Here is a 21,706-nt window from a genome sequence, read left to right as displayed (position 1 = left end):
TAGAAGCTATTCAGAGGGCATTCGGCTCTCCATAACAGCAAGTTAGAAGCAAGCATTCTCCATACTAACAACAGCCATACTCTGCCTCATGGCACATGCCTTTTGAAATGCAACACTGCAAATCTCCAAATCACATGAACAGCATTTACACCTGTACCTAACCATCAGCTGTGAGCTGGTAGGACCACCTCTCGTCTTTAGAAAATAATTTCTTTTTGCAAATTATAGGCTGATCCCGGCACTCTGAAACATGTAAATATAACACTGTATTCATCTCCACTGAGCATTTAGCATCTGAAGCCTGTGGTAGCCAGCTGGTCTCAAAGTCATCTGGGATACATTTATTTTGATTAAATTGATCAGATTTCTATTTACAGGATAGAATTTTTTTGCCATTACTGAATACAGCTGTGTTTACAGGGATTTGTAGAAGAAGAAAACAAAACCCCACAATCGGTCCTAGCAAAGCACAGAGCATTCAGAACTGGAAGGAGTTAAAACAGAGGGGGCTTGCTTTCACAGTAAAAAGAAAATTCTGCATGCAGCTGCTTTGGCCATGCTGTCTCACTAGTCAGGAAATGGGTGTTGAACTGGAGCTGAAAACACAAGCTGCAATCAAGCCCGATCCAGCAAAGTGACAGACTTCCTGTGTAAAATGGTCAGAAACCTTTTTTCATGTCTCTACATGCATGCACATGCATTTAAATCCATGCTGCGAGGCTGCGATTTTCTCTGGGGACACTGGTACAGTCACCTAGCCCATCAGTTCCTTCGTCGACAGCGCCGGGGACATCCAGACTACAATTTACAGTTCCTCTATCCATGTGCTGGGTTATAAATTATGCCATCCTCCCTAGAATGAGAATGCACAGCAAGCGGCAGACAATCACCCGGCATTCGGCATCTCTTTCTTTTCACGCGCTCCCTCGCTCCGCCTTTCTCCAGCTCTGCCTTCTCAGGCAGATACATCAGATACCTTGTTTATCCATCTTCAGCTCCACTCTGAGGTAAAATGCCACCACATCTCGCCATGGGTTGTCCCCCCAGACTAAATCCCTGGGAACAGCCTGAGCTGGGTGCACGCGGCCGAGGCGACGGCTGCCCTTGCCCTGCGGAGCACGGGTGGGCATTGGATGTAAGGTATTCCTAACTTCCCCTTCCCCAGTCCTTGGCGTCCTCTCTAGCCATCCCACCCCAGGTCTTCTGCAGCTTCACCCTGTCCTCCAAGTCCCCTCGCCCAGCTGCGAGGCAGGAGACCCCGGCCGGAGCTCCGCCAGCAGGTCCTTCTTTCGCAGGGCGCAGACGCACGATTCCGGGATCGGGTGCACCACGGCGAAGCCCAGGCGGGAGACGGCAGGAGCAGCTCAGGTAACCAGGGGAAGCTTGCGTGCCCACGGAGATGCAGCCGTGGAGCTGTGAGGAAAGACGGTCTGGCTTCAGAATTTAAAAAAAAAAAATAGAAAAAAAAAAAAAAAAAGAAACACAAAACAGCGCAGCTCGGCGCCAGCGGGGGTGGAAAAAACAGACACAAACCATAAAAAAAAGCAAGAGTTAAAATCAAATTTCAAAAAAAAAAAAAAAAAAAAGGAAATACAGAGATCAGAGTACTTCATGCGACTTTTATTTCTGACGTTTCTTGGTTTATTGGCCTCCCCACCCCCTCCAAAATCTGTTCTGTCCCTGAACACCACTGTCTGTCCATGAGTGCCAGTCACAAAGACTCTTGCTCCCAAGTGCTGCAGACCCAGCATCACATGAGAAACCACATGACAAACTGCAGTCGGCTGCTGATGTGGTCAACTATTTCACCCAGGCAGGGGGAGCAGGAGGGAGACAAACCTCAAGTGAGACATGCCCCTCTCAGGCGGCCAGGAAGACATTTCCTTAAAAGAACAATGAGAAGCATGCCTCTGAAGCTTGCTTGGGAATACATATACACTTTTACATATGCGCACTTACAGAGACTAAAGAGGCCGTGGATACTTGAAGACATTCTGAGGATGCTGTACCACAGACACTAGCTGGATGGCAGCAATATTATTTCTAGTATGTATTAGTCAAAGCTGATTCCACTTAAGTGGATTCCTGAAAAGCACACACCACGTCTTCATAGCATGATCAGGCTTGGAAAACCTATTCTATTATCTCTCCCTGCAATCTGTATCTGAACCTGCATTCTGAATAATTTATTTTTAGACTAATAAGATGCTTGCCAAGACTGCTCCCTTTCTTCGGTAAGCAGCACAGGCAATATTCACCCGAGTAGGAAAGCCTCGTCCCTTTGTAGGGAGAAGAGAAGAGATGGTTTTTTAAAAATGCAATTTCTTATTTAAAGGCAGACAAACACATAGCAATAAAGTTCTCGCAAGTAATCTTAAAAACAAGTGAAATGTTTCTGCTTCATTGAATCGACATGTCTCTTATTTGCAGTTTGGCATCTCATGCTGGCAAATGGTGGTGATATTTTTCTAACACTGCTCATGGCTGCAGCTACAGCCCTTAAGCCACATGGATATTGCTACTTCTCAGCAGGGTGAGAGCAAACAATTGCTTTCTGGAGCACCTTCCTGTGGAGGTGCTGCACTGCCAGGTATGCTTTACTAGTTACATTAAGGCAAGTACAAGTGAGATGGCCTCAGGGTCTGTAGATTCTGTCACTCATCCTGGAATTAAGTAAGTTGCCTATTTGGGACGTCCTTCCCAAGACGTGAGAGGTATACCTTTTTAGCAAAATTGATTATGCCGGCTAACTAGAACCGGAGAATCATTAAACAGGTGGGAGGTAATTGTCTACAACATGTCTTATTGGACTGTGTAGATATCAAGGTAAGTGGCCTTTAATTCATTTGAGATGCCCTTTCAGCCTCTCACTGTATAAGTGTGTCAAGGATGGTCCCAGACCCTGGGGTTCCAATGATGAGCAAGAGATGCATGGTCTCTGCCATCTTGGAGCTCAAGGTCCAGTAACTGCACACATCTTTTGTCCTTCAAGACAACCTTTTCCCAATTTGAATTCTCCAAAGTTAACCAAGGAAGAGATCCAGCAGTCACTTTTTACCCTTGCCTTTTCAACATCCTCTATGATCTCCCAAATCCTATATATTGTTTCTTTACCATCTGCCCTTGGATTTAAGATTTCTTCTCCATTCATTCCTAGAGTCCAAGCTCAGGTTCTCATACCCTCCCACCCAATGATCTCCAATCTGGTCACCCTCTTTTTGTTTCATTCCATTTGGCAGCCTGCCACCAAACTAATCGTACCAAACCACCACATTCATGATGTCCAGAACTACTGTCCAGATGGGTTAGACAACCCTTTGTCCAAAACCAAGGTGGCTCCTTATTTCTTCACGTTCATACACTACCAGTCAAGACAATCTATTATCTGATTATTCATTGTCTATTTAAACAGATTGGTCTATTAATGATCTTCTGATCACATCCTCCATTGAATCAGAAAAAAAAATGGGGGCTCAATTTTGTTAATAACAACGCATAAAGCATTGTGTAAGAAACAAAGACACACGAAGCATTGTCCCTGCCCTCAGAGAACATACTCTATAGAGCCTGTGCTACTTTTTTCTATCAATCATTACTAACCATTTATTATCTTTTATTGCTAGTCATTTCTTCAGGTTTTATTTCCCATGAAAATAATTAGTAAGTCTCAATCCACTTGCTAAGTGTGGGTCAGATAAGTGGTACCACAGATGGGCTGAAAAGGGAACAAACACTTCTACCTAAATGTCTGCGGAGGTTCCCCGAGTTCTCTGGGATTTGCAGTGAGCTATAAAATATCGGGCCAGGGAGTAGGGCAGGATTTAGGTATTAACAACAATAGCAATGGCAGTCGCTAAAAATTAGCACTTACTATGTGCCAGCATCTATTCTAAGCATTTTAGGTACATTAACCTACTTAATTTTATGAGAAAATATTTTTAATAAGTTATTTTCAGTGATACACAGACAGAAGCACAAGAGGGAGGTTAAATAAGTTGCCCAAACTACACAGCAAGTAAGTAGTAAAGCATATCTGGCCCCCGAGTGCGTGGTCTTAACCACCGTGCTGTCCTGCTTTGGAAATGAAAAAAATTGTGGGAGGGAGACCAGGTAGGTGAAAATACATGCATATGTCTGAAGGTGGATGAAGGAATCAAGTAGGGTGTTAGTTCTGTAGAAGCGGGACTAGGTTGAGGAGAGCCACAATATAAAGCTATTACCCTCTTCATAAACATTGGGACCAACAACCAAATTGTAGGATAATAAGTCCGGTAGCCAAATCTAAGATTGATGGGGGAGGAAGGGATTGGGTATAAGGAGACTAATCAAGAGGCTTCTGCAATTGCCTGGCTAAAAGGGAATGGTGCCCAAATCTTGGTAGCGGTGAAAGGAAAATTGAGATGGATTCTGGAGGTGTTATGAAGAAATGACATTATTGCGGTATTCTTGGAAAACAGAGAAGAGGTGATGGTAAAGCTGACTCTACATTTTTTAAAGCTCAGCTGAAGAAAGAACGCAGGTTCCTGAGCTTAGGAGTTGTGTCGTTCATCTTTTTTTCCCCAGTAGCTAGCAAAATGCTTGATATGCCTTTTTAAAGTAATGAATAAATGAAGGTGATGAAGGTAGAAATGGGAACATCAGAAGTGATGACGCCACATATAACAAAAATCTCTACAGTGAATTTAGTAATTCACAGGGTATCTGAGTGGCTTAGGTGGGTTGGCTTCCATCATGCCATTACTTATATATAAACAGAATTTGTTTTCTCTTTCCACCTTTGGCTTGCTTTTCAGATGCTACCTGATTTCCCCCACCACACGCCTCAGATGCTCTTCCTCAGGCTGATCTCAGTCAGGCTGCGTTTCCTCTACCCTGCCCCAGCGACCCCCATCCTTGCCCACCAGCTGTAGACTCATCCTGTCCAGATCTGCCCCCTAATCAGAATGTTGAACTTACCAAGATGATAAGATAAGCGGGCTAACATACTTTAACATTCTTTTATTTTTTTTTTTAATAGCACAGGGAGAAACCACAGACGTTTATCAGCCTTCTCACACAATTTTAGCTAACCAGAATACTAAATTAACGAACGTACCTCATTTCTTGGGCAGTTAATGAAGGTTAATGTGACATACTGCCTCTGGCTCTGGAAGTAAAAAGGGGTGTTACTGCCTCATATTATAGCTGGGGAAAAAAAAGTGTTAATAATCTTTCTCATCAGCAGTAAAGAATTGAGCTTTTAATACCCAGATATATTTTAGTAAAAGGCTAGTATATCATCTGTAAGTGGAGTTCAAGAGCAGTGTTAGATAACTAGGGCATTTCAAGAGCCTGCTTACACCACAGACCAAAAAAAAAAAAAAAAAAAAGAACAAGAGAAAAAAAAAATACAGCCAAAGCTGAATTTATTCCAAGAGAAAAGAAAAATGTGAATTTATGTTGGCAATATTTTCATTTATATCACTTTAGATCAACTCTAATAATCTTTAAATAGTAAGAAGAAAACTTGGATCTCACAAATAAGTGATTTTGAGTAAAGGGGGTAAATGTGTGAGCAAGGTCATTGTTTGATTCAATGATGTTCACACAAATGCATTATGTGGACCTGCTAATCTAAGACAGTGTGGTAGGCATTGTCTAGGGCCCTTAAAGAGCTTACAATACACTTACCCAGGAAGACACTTCCCTTCCTTTTACAGAGGGAAGCTATTGCATTTGATGAGAGCAAAAAATAGCAGGGGAGGCAGGGTAGGTGCAGTGGCTCACTCCTGTAATCCCAGCACTGTGGAAGGCCAAGGTGGGTGGATTGCTTGAGCCCAGGAGTTCGAGACCAGCCTGGGCAACATGGCAAAACCCCATCTCTACCAAAGAAAGTACAAAAATTAGCTGGGTGTTTTGGTGTGCACCTGTAGTACTAGCTACTCAGGAGGCTGAGGTGGGAGAACCACTTACGCCTAGGAGGTAGAGGTTGCAGTGAGCCATGATCATGCCACTGCCATCCAGCCTGGGCAACAGAGCAAGACACTGTCTCAAAAAAAAAAAAAAAAAAAAAGAAGGGTATGCTCTCTTGACAGGGAGCCAACCCACCTTAGAGATCTTACCATAGCAGAAATGGCTTGCATGATGTGAATATTCAGTGAATGTGACTCTTCAATCCTTTAAGTGAATAAGAATGCTATGCTTTATCTGTGCAATCCTGGGAAATATTAATGATGTGCTGATAGTGTCAAGAAAGGCAGGGTCTATAGGTTTATTTAGCAGAGTTGCTAGAGGACTTAAAACTGCATGTCATGGTTTCTAACCTCTTCAAAATGGATGCTGAATTAAGATGAGCCCTTCCCAAAGCAGACTGACAAAGTGACTAATTGCTGGCTGCTGGCAGAGGACTGATTTCCCCTCTCTCTGCTGTCCAGCGTTATTACCCTCGTCCATTTTACAGGGACCAAATGGCAAGTTTAAGGTGGAAGAACTGTGTTTGTTCACCTGTGAGTGGTTTGACCTTAGACTTTGCAGAGCACTGTCAGGAAGTCGGTTTTTCCATGCTCTTTACAGTAAACAAAGACAGTGTGGCTGGGCTCCAAATGTTACAGAAGGTCAGGGACCAAACTGCCTCAAAGACAAAGACTGCTTCCAGAAATTGAAACACAAAATAGATGTGAGCGCCATCAACATTCCACACTGTGCTCCTGTTCATTCTCAGTGTTTGCTTCAAACAATGTGACACATACCCAGCGTAGATGCATAATAGAAATAGAATCATAAAACCCCAGGTGCTGGAAAGCACCTTAAAGGTCATCTGGTCCAACTGCAAATCTAAATTGTGAATGCTGCCCTTTAAAACCTCCTCCATGTAATCATCCAGGCTCAAGGGGAACACCTCTGGTGACTATAAACGCAGTGCCCTGGGAGACAGACAAGCCATTCCATCTTTTGAATGCAACAGCCTCAGTATTTAAAACCCTGAGCTAAGGCCGGGCGCGGTGGCTCATGCCTGAAATCCCAGCACTTTGGGAGGCCAAGACGAGCAGATCACCTGAGGTCAGGAGTTTGAGACCAGCCTGGCCAACATGGTAAAACCCTGTCGCTACTAAAAATACAAAAATTAGCCAGGCGTGCTGGCATGCGCCTGTAATTCCAGCTATTCAAGAGGCCGAGGCATGAGAATCACTTGAACCCAGGAGGCGGAGGTTGCAGTGAGCCAAGATCACGCTACTGCACTCCAGCCTGGGTGACAGAGTGGGACTCTGTCTCAAAAAAAAAAAAAGAAAAGAAAAGAAAAGAAAAACCTCTGAGCCAAAATGTCCTATTCTATGACAGTAGGAGCCTCACTGGAGCTTCTGTTTATTAGCCCTTGATTTGGGAGCTCAATCTAGTGTGACTTCCCCATGATGGTTCCTCAGTTACTGGAGGGCATCTATCATCCCCCATCCAGATTTTCCTTCTCTACACAAAATATCTGCAACTTCTTTAGACATTACTCTGTGACTTCAAGTCTATTCAACATTCAATTTCTGAGCCTAGGAATACATTCCAGTTGATCGGTAGTGCTTTGAATGATGTGTCACACAAAACATAACACAAGGTCCCATCATGTGGCTACACAAAGCAAAATAGTCCTATTACTTCCATCATTCAAACTGATCACATTTCATTTAGTGCAGACTAACCTGCACTTGCTTTCCTAGTGGGTACCTCATGTTGGTGACTCTTACTGGGCTCACCTGTGCCTTTATTCATACAGTTTCACCTAAATCACATTTCTACCATCTTCAGACAATGTCTTTGTGCATTAATTTGACTGGTTTTGTTTTGTTATTGGTTTTGGTTACCACATCTGATCAGATTTTAGGTATATTTTAAAACATTTTTAAGCCAGGCATAGTGGCTCATGTCTGTAAGCCCAGCACTTTGGGAGGCCGGGGGCAGATAACTTGAGCTCAGGAGTTTGACACTAGCCTTAGCAACATGCTGAAACCCCGTCTCTACAAAAACACAAAAATTAGCCAGGCATGGTGGTGTGTGCCTGTGGTCCCAGCTATTCAGGAGGCTGAGGTGGGAGGATCACCTGAGTGTGGGAGGATCACTTGAGCCTGGGAGGCGGAGGTTGCAGAGAGCCATGATTGCACCACTGCACTCCAGGCTAGGTGACAGAGTGAGACCCTGTCTCAAAGAAAAAAAAAAATTGTTTTAAAGGAAAGAAGTAGTAGTAAGTTATTCTTGAAGGAGTCATAGATAAACCTGTAAATACACATATCTATCCATGGTAAGATATGAGACTTATGAGAGCAGAAGTTCTTAGAAGGCATTGAGTACACCTTCTGTTTTTCATCTATCACAACAGCACTGCATAGAATAAAATAACTCTGATTACATAAAATACCCTGGCCTAGTAGGAAAAATACTGGACTAGAAGTCAAAAGCTGTGGGATCTGGTATCTATATTGCTATGGACTATATGTTTATCTGTTATATAATTATAGAAAGGTCATTTTATCTTTTTCCAAGCTATAGTTTCCTTCATTGTAAAGTGAGAATCTCAATACACACCCTGCGCTGTACCGCATTCTAATAGTTTATATTTCTGTGGAATTCTAATGAAATTTGTAAATCTATTCTTTAATACAATGAAATAAATTGTATATTAGCCAGTGGTTAAGCCCCGGCTAAAATTTTCTATAGACTTTCATTAACATTAGATAAGTTTTACATTAAATTTTGTCTTAAGTGAGTGAATGGCATATTCACAAATCAGAAAGTTCTTGTGTCCAGAGTTTTTTTTTTAATATGCCAATTAGGGAAATTAGATAAGTCTGACTGGGGGTCCTGGAATCTTTACCCTCTGATAAAATAACAGTTTTGAATAGGTGAACCAATTACTGAGATTCTTGGGGTAAGGAATAAATGTCATAACGTGATATCATCACTTTCCTATAATCCAAATGTCTTCTTAAAATGTCTTTAATTAACTATACAGAGAGAACCTTTAGGTTGAAAAGATCTAGTTTCTTTCACATTTTTAAACTAGAGCCATGACAACAGAGTGCCTTGATGTCAATCAGCAGTTCCCACAATGGGAATACTATTCACATTCTGGGTGAGGGGGGAGGGAATGATGGCATATGGGCATAACAAGAGAACACCAGCTCATCTTAAAATCTTGCAATACAGTAAAATTAACTCCATGATCAGATTCTAAGACACATCCAACCCTCATAACATTAACTTCACAGAGTACAATAGTTGGTCTTTTTACTAAGTATATTACTAGACTATGCAGTTTTTCTCTTAGATCAAAAGAAATAAAATAAAAATTGGAACAGTGGGCTTCATTTTCTCAAAATCTGGGCCCAGTTTTGGCCCAGCCTTTCTCTGTGCATGTTCCTTCACCATCCTGACCTCAGCGCCATCTTCTGTAAAATAGAAGAGGTCTCTGAGTGTCTAGGCTCTCTGCCCATATGTCAGAAAGGAGGCATGTTTTTTGGCTTTTGAAGATCCCCTGCTTTCAACAAGTAAGCTATCCAAGCAGCGTATGATCCTGGAGATCCACAAGTCATATTGTATCTTAGTTTCTCTCATTCTTAAAAGCTTCATGGCAAAGACCCTAGTGCAACAATATTGTCTCAGTCTCAAATCCCTTTCTGGGCATCAGGCAGAGGGCTCTCAAGCCAAGACCCTGGGCTTCAGTAGCAGTGGGAATGCAGCACTTCAATGAGCCTGAAAAAAAAAGCCACAGCTATATGATGCACACATAGTACAGACATAGTGATGTGGAGATGGACTGGTGCCTTTTGATGTTTGCAAAATATACCTAGGTAGCAAATTGTTACATAATTAAGTGCCCAATGGCATTTGATATGAACAAAAGTTGTAAACATTAGCTTATTGTAACCAATAAAATAGAGATTCTAAAATGCAATTAGCACAAATGACCACATCTCCATTCAAGTAGCAAGGCAGACTTTTAGAGGAAACCTTAAAATAATTAAAGTGGCCACGTTCAGGATGCCAAATGCATACAGATATATCACTGGCTGCTAAAGCAGTAAAGCTTTCTCAGGCAAAGAGGAGGCACGCTTATGCCCAAGGTTAGATTGAGTGTCTTATTGAAGTACAGCACCCCCTCCGCCCCCACTGCATTTGATGGCCTTTTCTGCAGGTTCCTCCAAGATCAGTGCTATAGTATTATGGTGTCTATAGGATGTAGGTATATGGAAGGGAGGAAAAGGACGGCAGAACTGGAAAGAAAAGATGTTCATTTTTTACTCCATTAGACTCAATGCATGCTTTATGTAGAATTCATCCCATAAGGTCAAAAATCTAATTAGGCTTTATTTTAAAAGCTCTGAAACATGCAATAAATCACATGTGATTTTTTTCATATGAGCTGTGACTCAATGATTGAATTTATGTTCATGAAAATAGTTCAGCTTACATTAAACACTGGTTCCTGATACTCCCTTTCCCAAAACACACAAACACACACACACTCACTCACTCACAGTTTATATATAAATAGATATGTGTATGTTTTATTGAGATTATAAAGTTATAAAGTATATCTAACTGTACAAGTATGCAAAATTATACATATAGAAGATAGTATCTGCATAGATAACTTATCTTAATAGAGTTGGCTTAATTTTTGATACTCTGTATTCAAGGACAAAGATTTGTTATTACTGAGGATACTGAAAAGAATCTCTTTTTTCAGAATCTAAGGAAAATTTAAAAATAATTATTCAAATATGTTGATGTAGTGACATAAATGTAGCACCTCTTCATATGACTTCTTTGAAAGGAGAAACTTTTGTTTATACGAGTATACTAAAAAGGCCAAAATGATCTTAATACTTTTAGGTTACTGAGGCTGCAAAAAGACGTATTGATCAGTAAGCGGATTATCAGGTGTAGTTAAATGTAAAGTGTAAAACCCTGGGAAAAGAGTAAATCTACTAATACTGGACAATTAGTACTACATGTTAGGTACTGCTCTGAGCACTTCGCATTTACTGAGTTAGGCACTATTTCAATCTCCATTTTATAGATGAGAAAAGTGCAGCAACAGAGAAGTTCAATAACCACGAAGGCCACACAGCTAACACATGGGAGAGCCAGGCTGCATATTCAGGTAGTGAGGCTCCACAATTCTTGCCCCAGAGTCCATTACTCTGCCTTGTATCTCTTCCTTCTTTTTCTCTTCTCCCACCTGACCCCTAACACCCAAAACCATATCAAAGGCAGATCCCTCTCTTGAATCTGCTCAGGCCTCATAGTTAGTGTCCATGATACAGAACCAGGCTTTCTAAAGGAGTTTTAGAAACATTTTATCTAATTGTTATAACAACTCTGCCAGTGTGCTGTTATTCTCCTTTGACAGATGAAGAAACTGAAACCCACAGAGATGAAGTAACATCCTCAAGATCAAAAGGTAACAAACGATTGAGGCAGGATTTGGATATTGCTCTACATGACGGGAAAGCCTGTGCTCTTGGAATTACAGTCATAGTACAACAGATCAAGTTCAAAGCATCATCTAAGTCAAGGAAAACCAGTAAAGAGGTTTGGAGAGACAAACAGGGTCAACTCCAGGCATTTGGGTCAGCAGAAACGGCACGATTGAGCAGCACTGTGACTATAGGATCATGGATCAGAGGCTGCTTCCTCTTTGGTTCTGGGCATCAGCCTCATGTCCACTCAAAGTAAGTGGCCCCTCTGATTGGAATCGGAGGTGCCTGGGTCATCTCACAGAGCCAAACAAATACAATTAGCTATTGCAAAGCCTTTTGGGAATTATTCCCAGTGTAAATAAACACATAACCATATAGCAAGAGCCTTGATAAAGTCCAAAAACATGCAAACTTGGAGTATCTAAGAGAAAAGACCACAATGTAAATGAAAAACCAAATAAACTCGGGCAAACCATAGGATAGGGCCCTGTCTGTGATGGCCTGCATATGATGAGCCATAGAAAAAGGATGGTGAATTCTGGATAATAAGAAATGTCAATGAGATGCAAGAACCACCTGTTTTATGTAAAGCTCCAAATAACCAGATCACAGTGGACAGCCACTCAAATAATGCCTTCATAATACAGAGTATTATTGAGAATAACTCAGTTCACAGAGAGCTTAAGGCAGCCAATATTTGATAGCCTGTCAGAAAAAAACAGAACAGTAATTATAGAAAAGAATCATATCCTCGGAAAAACAAAAATTAATCAAACTAAGTTTGTAAAGTCTATCTTACAGACACATTGTCTGGACTGGTCCTCTCAAAAATACTGTTTTTTTTTAATGCCAATTTGTTTAGTTAATGATTTTTGTCTTATTACTTCAAAACTGGAAATATCCTATGACTCATAATATCTTACAACCTTTCTACTTTCTTAAAGAATCTCAAGTTTATAATCACAGGGGATCGGATTATTTTTCAAAAATTAAATGGTGATGTAATGATTTCTGTGTCTATTGTAGAAAAGTCAACCTTATTACAGCTGCAACAATGGCATTAAGAAATATGAGTAATTCCAATCAACTTGAGATAATGTCTAATCAAACACAAATACAACTGGTAAATTTCATTAAATAGCATGGAGATTAAATTAAAACACTATTATGTAATAAAAACCTTTAGTGGTACTAAAATTTTAGAATAGTTCAGATATACAGAAAAATTTCAAAGATACACAGAGTTCCCATTTTTTTCCTATTACTAACCTCTCATATTTGTCACAACTAATGAATATTCAATAGAGTATTATTAACTAAAGCCTATACATTTATTTAGATTTCCTTAGTTTTTAGCTAACATTCTTTTTCTTTGTTCCAGGATCCCATCCGGGCCACCACATTGAATTTATTTGTCATTTTAGGTACCTCTTGGCTGTGAGTTTCTTAGACTTTCCTTGTTTTTGGTGACCCTGACAGTTTGAGGGAGTACTAGTCAGTCAGTTATTTTTGCAGAATGCCCTAAATTTGAGTTTGGCTGATGTTTTTCTTAGGGTTTGACTGGGGTTATGGGTTTTGGGGAGGAAGACCACAGAGGTGAAGTACCATTCTCACCAAATTATATTAAAGGTACATACCATCAGCATGCCTTATACTATTGATGTGAACTTTGATTGCCTGGCTGTGGTAGTGTTTGTCATGTTTCTTCACTGTAAAGTTACTCTTCTCATCACCCACTTTTCTGTACTGTACTCTTTGGAAGAAAGTCACTATATGCATCCCAAATTTAAGGAGTGGGAAGTTATGCTCCACCCATTTGTAAGCAGAAAATCTACATAATTTGTTTGGCATTCTTCTGCATAGGAAAATCATCTCACTCTCCCAGTTATTTATTTATTTGATCTTTTTTTATATCAGTATGGACTCATGGGTATTTCTTTTATACTTTGGGTTATAATCCAATACTAACACAATAAAGAAATTTTTAATGGAGATGCATTCAAATTCGTTGCTAAAATGGGCCTGACACCTCTTGACCTTGGCTAAACAGAGATTCTGGATGGAGCAAAGCACTGTGACGTCATGTGGACTTTGAAGGTTAAGAAACTACGGATCATCAGGACATATTTGCTCTTCCATCTCACAGAGAAAATGGGGATATACCTCCTCATTCCAGGAAACTTTCTTCCTATATTTCTAATATATCCAGGATAAAATTCAATATATATAGTCAGTAGCTTCAAAGTTAAGCATAATTTGTTTACTAGAATTCTTAAGGCAGATGTTGGATCATTAACTCATTCTCTTAGAAATAACTTTGGTGCTTATAAGTAGGCATCACATAATCTGATACACTGATATTATATATATAATCGTGAAAAACATATCAGATTATATGATATCACATAATCTGATATATGTGATATATAATCAGATTATGTGGTATCATATAATCTGATATATAAATGTTTTTCATAATTATACATATATTTCAAGTATAATTGTGAAAAACATTTGCCAGTTTAAAGTTTAATATGTAGACAGAATAATGCCTGGAGGTATAGGGATATAATTGGGAATTAGAGTAATAAAATAAATATTTTAAGTACTTACTACATATTACTCATTAACACAAAAGTAACTTTACGTATAAAATGCATGACAAGACTCCATTATAAAGAAGTGTCTGAAAGCTATAGGGCAGAAAGGTATAGAACACAGTATAGACTAGAAGGAGATAAAGACAATCAGAAGATTTTATTCATTCATTTATTCAACAAAAATTTACAGAGTACCTCCAATTATCAGCAGCTGTGCTGAAGATTAGGTATATTACCTACACAGTTACAAATTTTGCTTTCATGTAGTCTGCAGGAAGAGAGACATTAATCAAAGAATGGCACTATTGACACTTGTGCAGGAAAGGGTTACGTCAACAGGCCTGGGCTGCTCAAACCTTGCGTATTCCCAGAGTCTCAAGACTGGTCTTGGCCTGGCTCCTGGGAAGATTACTTCTGAGCCCTTGGCTGAGATAGGAGTTTATGCCAACAGTGTGATTTATGGCAAACACCTGTTTTTGTATGCCTGAGGCTTTGGATCATGCTGTACCAATTTGATCTGAGGCCTGAAGACTGGTAGCTAAGGTGCTGCATGCCTACATGACTGACCTCCAGTAAAAACCCTGGACACATGCCTCAAGTGAGTTTCGTTGGTTGGCAACACTTTACATATGTTGTCACACGTTGTTGCTGAGAAAATTAAGTGTACTCCATGTAATGGCACTGGGAGAGGACAACTGGAAGCTGGTGCTTAATTTCTCCTCTACTCCACGCTATCCACCTTTTCACTTCGCTGAGTTTTTTCTGTATCCTTTCAATGTAATAAACTTTAACCATGAGTATAACAGCTTTTTTGGGTCCTGTGAGTCTTTCCAGCAAATCACTGAGCCTGAGAATTATCTTGGGGATCCCCAACACAATACTACAATTAAAAAATGAGGTACATATTCTAAAGAAGAAGAATATAGTTTGTGGGAGTTTATAACATAGTAACCTGAAGTAGACTAGGAGGTCAAGAAAGTCTTCCCCGAAAAAGAGAGGTTTGAGCTGTGATAATGGATGCATAAGACATTGCTTATAAAGGTGGAGAGAGCTTTCCAGCATGATGAATTGCATGTACAAATCCTCTGGTCAGGGAGAGTAAAGTGTGTGTGAGCAGCTGAAAGTGACATGCACAGCTGGAGTGGAGAGAACAGCAGGAGGTGGGATGGGAGATGTGTGGGACAGTCCTCAGAGGCTGGGCTTGGCAAACCATGTGAAGGATTTTGGTCATTATCCTGAGAGTCACGGGAAGCCATGGAAAGGCTGGAAGCAAAGGGGGGCTCAGGGTGGTCTTCTGAAATAAGCATTCTGGCAATGGGGGTTGGGGGGAGAACTTATAGGGGGTGATGAGTCGACAGAATGAAAACAAGGCAATCTCTTTTTATAGAACTCAGAAGAGAGATGATGGTATCTCTGGCTATTGTGCTGGCAGAGGGAATGTTGAGAAATGGAAGCTTTTCATAGAAATTTAGTGGGCCAAATTACTTTGCTGGCTTGTGCAAATGACAGAATGGTTGGACCACTCATTGAAGCAGGACACACTAGGAGAGACCAGGTTTATTTTTGTCAGGATGAAGCACAAGAATGACATACATTTGGTCTTGGATACACTGAGTTTGATGTGCCTTTAGAGTTGAATATGGAGATAGTTATAGGCCACTGAATACATAGGTATGGACTGATGTCATTCAGGTTTCATCCACAAATTGTAACTACAGCTATCGACTCAAGGGGCAACTATCATTTGCCTGGCATTACTTTAAGTACTTTCCATATATGAACTCATTATATCCTCACAATTATTAAATGAGCAGATCCTATAACTAGCCTATGTCATTCTCATAGCAAGCCAAGGAAGGGCGTTGAAACCAACTTTGGAGACGGTAGGGGGTAAAAAAGAAGAGGGATTTTGACGTTGCCAGTATTAGTAACTGATTCCTGGCAGACAAGACTGAGAGTATATCACCAGACCTGAAGGAGGAGGAGGCTGGGCTATCCTGGAAGCCAAGGGAAGTTGGTGCTCCAGAAGAAGACAGTTTTTATTTAATGCTGTTAAGTTTACTAAGAAGAGGACTATGGGATGGACAACAGTCAGTCATTGCAAGTAAAAGTTGTTTTGATGAAGCTGGAAGCTAAATTAGAGAAGGGTGCATGGAAGGCAAGAAAGTGAAGACAGGGAAGTGCTTTCAGCACATCTCGCTATAAAGAGTAGGAAAGAAAGCAATACCTGCAGGGAGCTAAAGGAGTCAGGGAGGAGCTGTTTGTTTACAGGTGAGATGGGAGAGCTGTATTCAAGTCTGAAAGTCAATGGAAAGGATTCATTTGAGAGGGAATAGTTGAGTACACATGAGAGAAGTACATCGATTGCAGTGAGCTGAGATCGCACCATTGCATTCCAGCCTGGGCGACAAGAACAAAACTCCGTCTCAAAAAAAAAAAAAAAAAAAAAAAGGAGTACGTTGATAGTGTAAGCTTCTTCAGCAGTCCAGAGTGAGAGAGATGGGATGTAAATATGGTCAAACATATTTGGGCAGAGCCAGTCAGTGAAATGATACTCTTCATAACACATGTCACAGAAACCAGTAATAGATCCAAGCCCTGCCTATGCTCCACTCTGCTCTCATACCCATTGGTTTCCTTATTTCTCTTTGGCTATCCCTGCCTTCCTTCATGACTCCATATGCCACGTTCCTCTCACTTCGGACACATCGCACTTGCTGTTTTTCTCAGCTAAGAATGTTTTTCACTCCATCCAATGCCCCACCTCTTCAACCAGTTTCTAGCCTGATGAAGATGTTCAATAAACAGTCATTGGTTGAACAACTTGTGTTCAAAACATTTACTGAAACAAACCTGTATTAGTCCGTTTTTACACTGCTATAAAGAGCTACCCAAGCCTAAGTAATTTATAAAGGAAAGAGGTTTAATTGACTCACAGTTCAGCATGGCTGGGGAGGTCTCAGGAAATTTACAATCATGATGGAAGGCAAAGGGGAAGCAGGTATCTTCTTCACAAGGTGGCAGGAAGGAGAAGTGCCAAGTGAAGGTGGAAGAGCCCCTTATAAAACCATCAGATCTCGTGAGAACTCACTCACTATCAGTATGCTTCAATTACTTCCACTTGGTCTGTCCCTTGATACGCGGGGATTATGGGGATTACAATTCAAGATGAGATTTGGATAGGGACACGAAGCCTAACCATATCAAAACCCAATCTGAAACTCAATCCGATTTTGGATATTTGCTTCTGATTTTGGTCACCAATAAGTATTTTTATCAATATAAATTTGAATCATAATTAAAGAAGGCATTGTAGTCTAATATTTAGTTATACTTTTATATCCATGATCATATTCATCCCTCCTACAAATATAAAAACATATGCATATGCCATTTTATTATTTTATACAAAAGAGTATTTTTAAGCAGACACACACCTGTCAATTAATTCTCTCCTACTAAGCAAACAACACGGAAAGAAATTCTAATCAGAATGTCAATCTATTAATTTACAATGAGATGTACAACTGTCAATTCAACCAGATATTTTTGTTAATCTGACCAATGCATATTTTTACCCTGGCCAAGCCAGCCACAGATTGGTAAACCTTACATTAAAAAATGTAGGTAGGCCCATATCTCTCACCATATACAACAATAAACTCAGGATGAATTAAAAACTTAAATGTAATACTTGAAACTGTAAAAATACCAGAAGAAAACCTAGAGAAAACTCTTCTGGACACTGGTCTAAGAAAATAATTCATGACTAAGACCTCAAAAACACAAGCCACAAAAAACAAAAATAAAAAACTGAGACGTAATGAAATAAAAAGGTTTCTGCACAGCAAAGGAAATAATCAACAGAGCAAACAGACAACCTGCAGAATGAGAGAAAATATTCACAAACTATGCATCTGACAGAAAACTAATATCCGGAATTTACAAGGAATGCAAACAACTCAACAACAACAAAAACAACCCCATTAACAAGTGGGCAAAGGACATGAATAGATATTTTTTAAAAGAAGACATACAAATGGTAAACCCGCATATGAAAAAAAATGCCCCAAATCACTAATCATCAGAGAAATGCAAATTAAAACCACAATGATATTATCTTACATTAGTCAGAATGGCTATTAGTAAAAAGTCAAAAAACAACAGATGTTGGCGAAGATGGGAAGAAAAGGGAACTCTTATACACTAGTAAAACCTCTGTGGAAAACAGTATGGAGATTTCTCAAAGAACTAAAGATAGAACTACCACTCAGGTCAGCAATCCCACTACCATGTGTCTGCCCAGAGGAAAAGAAATTGTGTCAAAAAGATACCTGCACTCTTATATTTATCACAGCACTATTCCCAATAGCAACGATATGGGATCAACCTATGTGTTCATCAACACTGGACAAAGAAAATATGGTATATATACATAATTGAATACTATTCAGCCATAAAACAAGAATAAAATCATGTATTGGAGCAACATGGATGGACGGAGAGGCCATTATCTTAAGTGAAACAACTCCAAAACAGAAAGTCAGATACCGCATGTTCCCGCTTGTAAGGGGAAGATGAAAAAAAAAAAAAAAGATAGACATTAGAGACTAGAAAGCGGGGTGCAGAAGGAGAGTGGGTGATGAAAAATAACTTAGTGGGTAGAATGTAAATTATTCAGATGATGGCTACCCTAAAAGCCAAGACTTCACCATGCAATAAATGCACATAACAAAATTCCACTTGTACCCCTTAAGTTTACACAAGTAAATATAATTTTAAAATAAAAATACATTTTTAAAATGTAGGTGGGAACGGAAGACAGAGCAATGGCTTCCAGGTACTTAGAGTAGGAATATAGGGATTGTTTTCAAAGTGGCAGGAGAGATTTGATTATCTTGATGGCTGTATGACTCTATGTGTTAAGTGGGTACTTCAAGGAGTATAAGAAGTTTATTTTACTTATAGCAAATAGTCTTGGTACAAGAAAATTATATAGCACAGTTAGTGAGACTGTAGTCTTTGGAACCCTAAAACCTTGGTTCAAATCCCAGCTTTATAACTGAATTACTTGGTAATAAGAAATTTATTAGAACGAATCCCTGACAGTTCAAAACACAACAGTAGATTCTAAAAAATTGAGGAGGAGGGAATCCTCCTCCCTAACACATTCAATGAGGCCAGTGTCATTCTGATACTAAAACCTGGTAGAAACACAACAAAAAAAAGAAACTTCAGGTCAATATCCCTGATTAACATGGATGCAGAAATTCTCAACAAAATGCTCGCATACTAAATCCAGCACCACATCAAAATGCTAATCCACCACAATCAAGTAGGTATTCCTGGGAGGCATGGTTGCTTCAACATATGCAAACCAATCAATGTGATTTATCACATAAATAGAATTTAAAACCACATGATCATCTCAATAGATGCAGGGAAGTCTTTTGGTAAAATACAATATCTCTTCATGTTAAAAACCCTCAGCAAACTAGGCATTGAAGGAACATACCTCAAAATAATAAGAGCCATATATGACAAACCACAGCCAACATCATACTGAATGGGCAAAGGCTGGAAGCATTCCTCTTAAGAATCAGAACAAGACAAGGATGCCCACTCTCACCACTCCTCTTCAACATGGTACTGGAAGTCGTAGCCAGAGCAATCAGGCAAGAGAAAGAAACAGAAGGCATCCAAATAGGAAGAGAGGCAATCAAACTATCTCTCTTCACAGATGATATGATTTTATACCTAGGAAACGCCACAGTCCCTGCCAAAAAGCTCATTGATTCCTTGATCTAATAAATCAGCAAAGTTTCAGGGTACAAAATCAATGTACAAAATCAGAAGCATTTCAATACATCAACATCAACAATGTCCAAGTCAAATCGAGAATGCAATGTCATTCACAATATCCATTAAGAAAAAAAGAAAAAAAAAAACCTAGGAATACAGCTAACCAAGGAGGTGAAAAATCTCTACAGCAAGAATTATAAAATGCTGCTGAAAGAAATCAGAGATGATAGAAGCAAATGGAAAACATTCCATGATCAAGAATAGAATCAATATTATTAAAATGGCCATATTGCCCAAAGCAATTTACAGATTCTACACTATTCCTATCAAACTATCAACAACATTTTTCAAAGAAATAGAAAAAAAAACTATTCTAAAAGTTATGCAGAACCAAAAAAGAGGCTGAATAGCCAAAGCAATCCTAAGCAAAAAGAACAAAGCCAGAGGCATTATACTATCCAACTTCAAACTATACTATACACTACAATAACCAAAACAGCATGGTATTTGTAAAACAAACAAACAAAAAAAACCAGACACATAGACCAATGGAACAGGTCAGAGAACCCAAAAATAAAGCTGCACACTTACAACCATCTAATCTTTAACAAAGCTGACAAAAACAAGCAATGGGGAAAGGACTCTATTCAAAAAATGGTGCTGGGATAATTGGCTAGCCATATGCAGAAGATTGAAACTAGACCCCTTCCTTACACTATGTACAAAAATCAACTCAAGATGGATTAAAGACTTAAATGTAAAACCTAAAACTATAAAAACCCTAGAAAAAGATAAAGGAAATACATTCAGGACATAGGCCATGACAAAGATTTCATTTTAAAGACTCCAAAAGCAATTGTGACAAAAACAAAAATTGACAAACAGGACCTAATTCTACACAACAAAATAAATTATCAAGAGAGTAAACAGACTACCTACAGAATGAGAGAAAATATTTGCAAGCCATGCACCCAACAAAGATCTAACATCCTGGATCTATAAGGAATGTAAACAAATTAACAAGCAAAAAACAATACCATTAAAAAATGGGCAAAGGACATGAACAGGCACTTATCAAAAGAAGACATACACGCAACCAACAAACATATGGAAAAATGCTCAACATCACTAAACATTATAGAAAAGTAAATCAAAACCACAAGATACTGTCTCACACCAATCAGAATGGCTATTTTTAAAAAGGCAAAAAATAACAGATGCTGGTGAGGTTGCAGAGGAAAAAGAGCACTTATACACTGCTGGTGGGAATGTAAATTAGTTCAGCCATTGTGGAAAGCAGTTTGAAGATTTCTCAAAGAACTTAAAACAGAACTACCATTTGACCCAGCAATCCCATTACTGGGTATATACCCAAAGGAACATAACATGTTCTACCATGAAGACACATGCACACATACGTTCACTGCAGGAATGTTCACAAAAGCAAAGACACGGAATCAACCTAAATGCCCATCAACAGTGGACTGGATAAAGAAAATGCAGTACATATACACCATGGCATACTATGCAACCATAAAAATAATGAAATCATGTCCTTTGCAGCAACATGGATACAGCTGGAGGCCATTACCCTAGGCAAATTAATGCAGGAAAAGAAAACTAAATACCACATGTTCTCACTTAGATGTGGGAGCTAAATAGTGAGTACACATGGACACAAAGAGGGGAACAATAGACACCAGGGCCTATTTGAGGGTGGAGCGTGAGGATCGAAAAACCACCTTTGGGTACTATGGTTATTAACTGGGTGACAAAATAATCTGTACACCAAACTCCAGTGACCGTAATTCACCCATGTAACAAACCTGCACATGGATCCCTGAACCTAAAACAAAA

The 21,706-nt window shown here is 39.5% G+C and overlaps 2 long non-coding RNA genes across 2 annotated transcripts in view, besides 1 other annotated feature; one reads left to right on the top strand and one right to left on the bottom strand.

Moving 5' to 3' along the window:
* Positions 1–21,706, bottom strand: part of CASC15 (cancer susceptibility 15) — a 529,408-nt gene that overhangs the window by 47,774 nt on the left and 459,928 nt on the right. The window lies entirely within an intron of this gene.
* On the top strand, positions 854–13,445 carry NBAT1 (neuroblastoma associated transcript 1). The gene is made up of 3 exons (NR_034143.1): positions 854–1,007; positions 1,296–1,368; positions 11,378–13,445. It is a non-coding gene; the product is annotated as a neuroblastoma associated transcript 1 (long non-coding RNA).
* Positions 2,328–2,829: an enhancer, noted in NCBI's record as "NANOG hESC enhancer chr6:22145447-22145948 (GRCh37/hg19 assembly coordinates)". NCBI's record gives its function as "activates a minimal SCP1, AML or CMV promoter by ChIP-STARR-seq in naive H9 embryonic stem cells {active_cell/tissue: H9 hESC(naive)}" and the evidence as "EXISTENCE:reporter gene assay evidence [ECO:0000049][PMID:30033119]".

This window comes from Homo sapiens, chromosome 6 (assembly GCF_000001405.40).
Source record: "Homo sapiens chromosome 6, GRCh38.p14 Primary Assembly".
In the NCBI taxonomy this organism is placed as follows: domain Eukaryota; kingdom Metazoa; phylum Chordata; class Mammalia; order Primates; family Hominidae; genus Homo; species Homo sapiens.
This window is presented reverse-complemented; position numbering and strand designations above follow the sequence as displayed.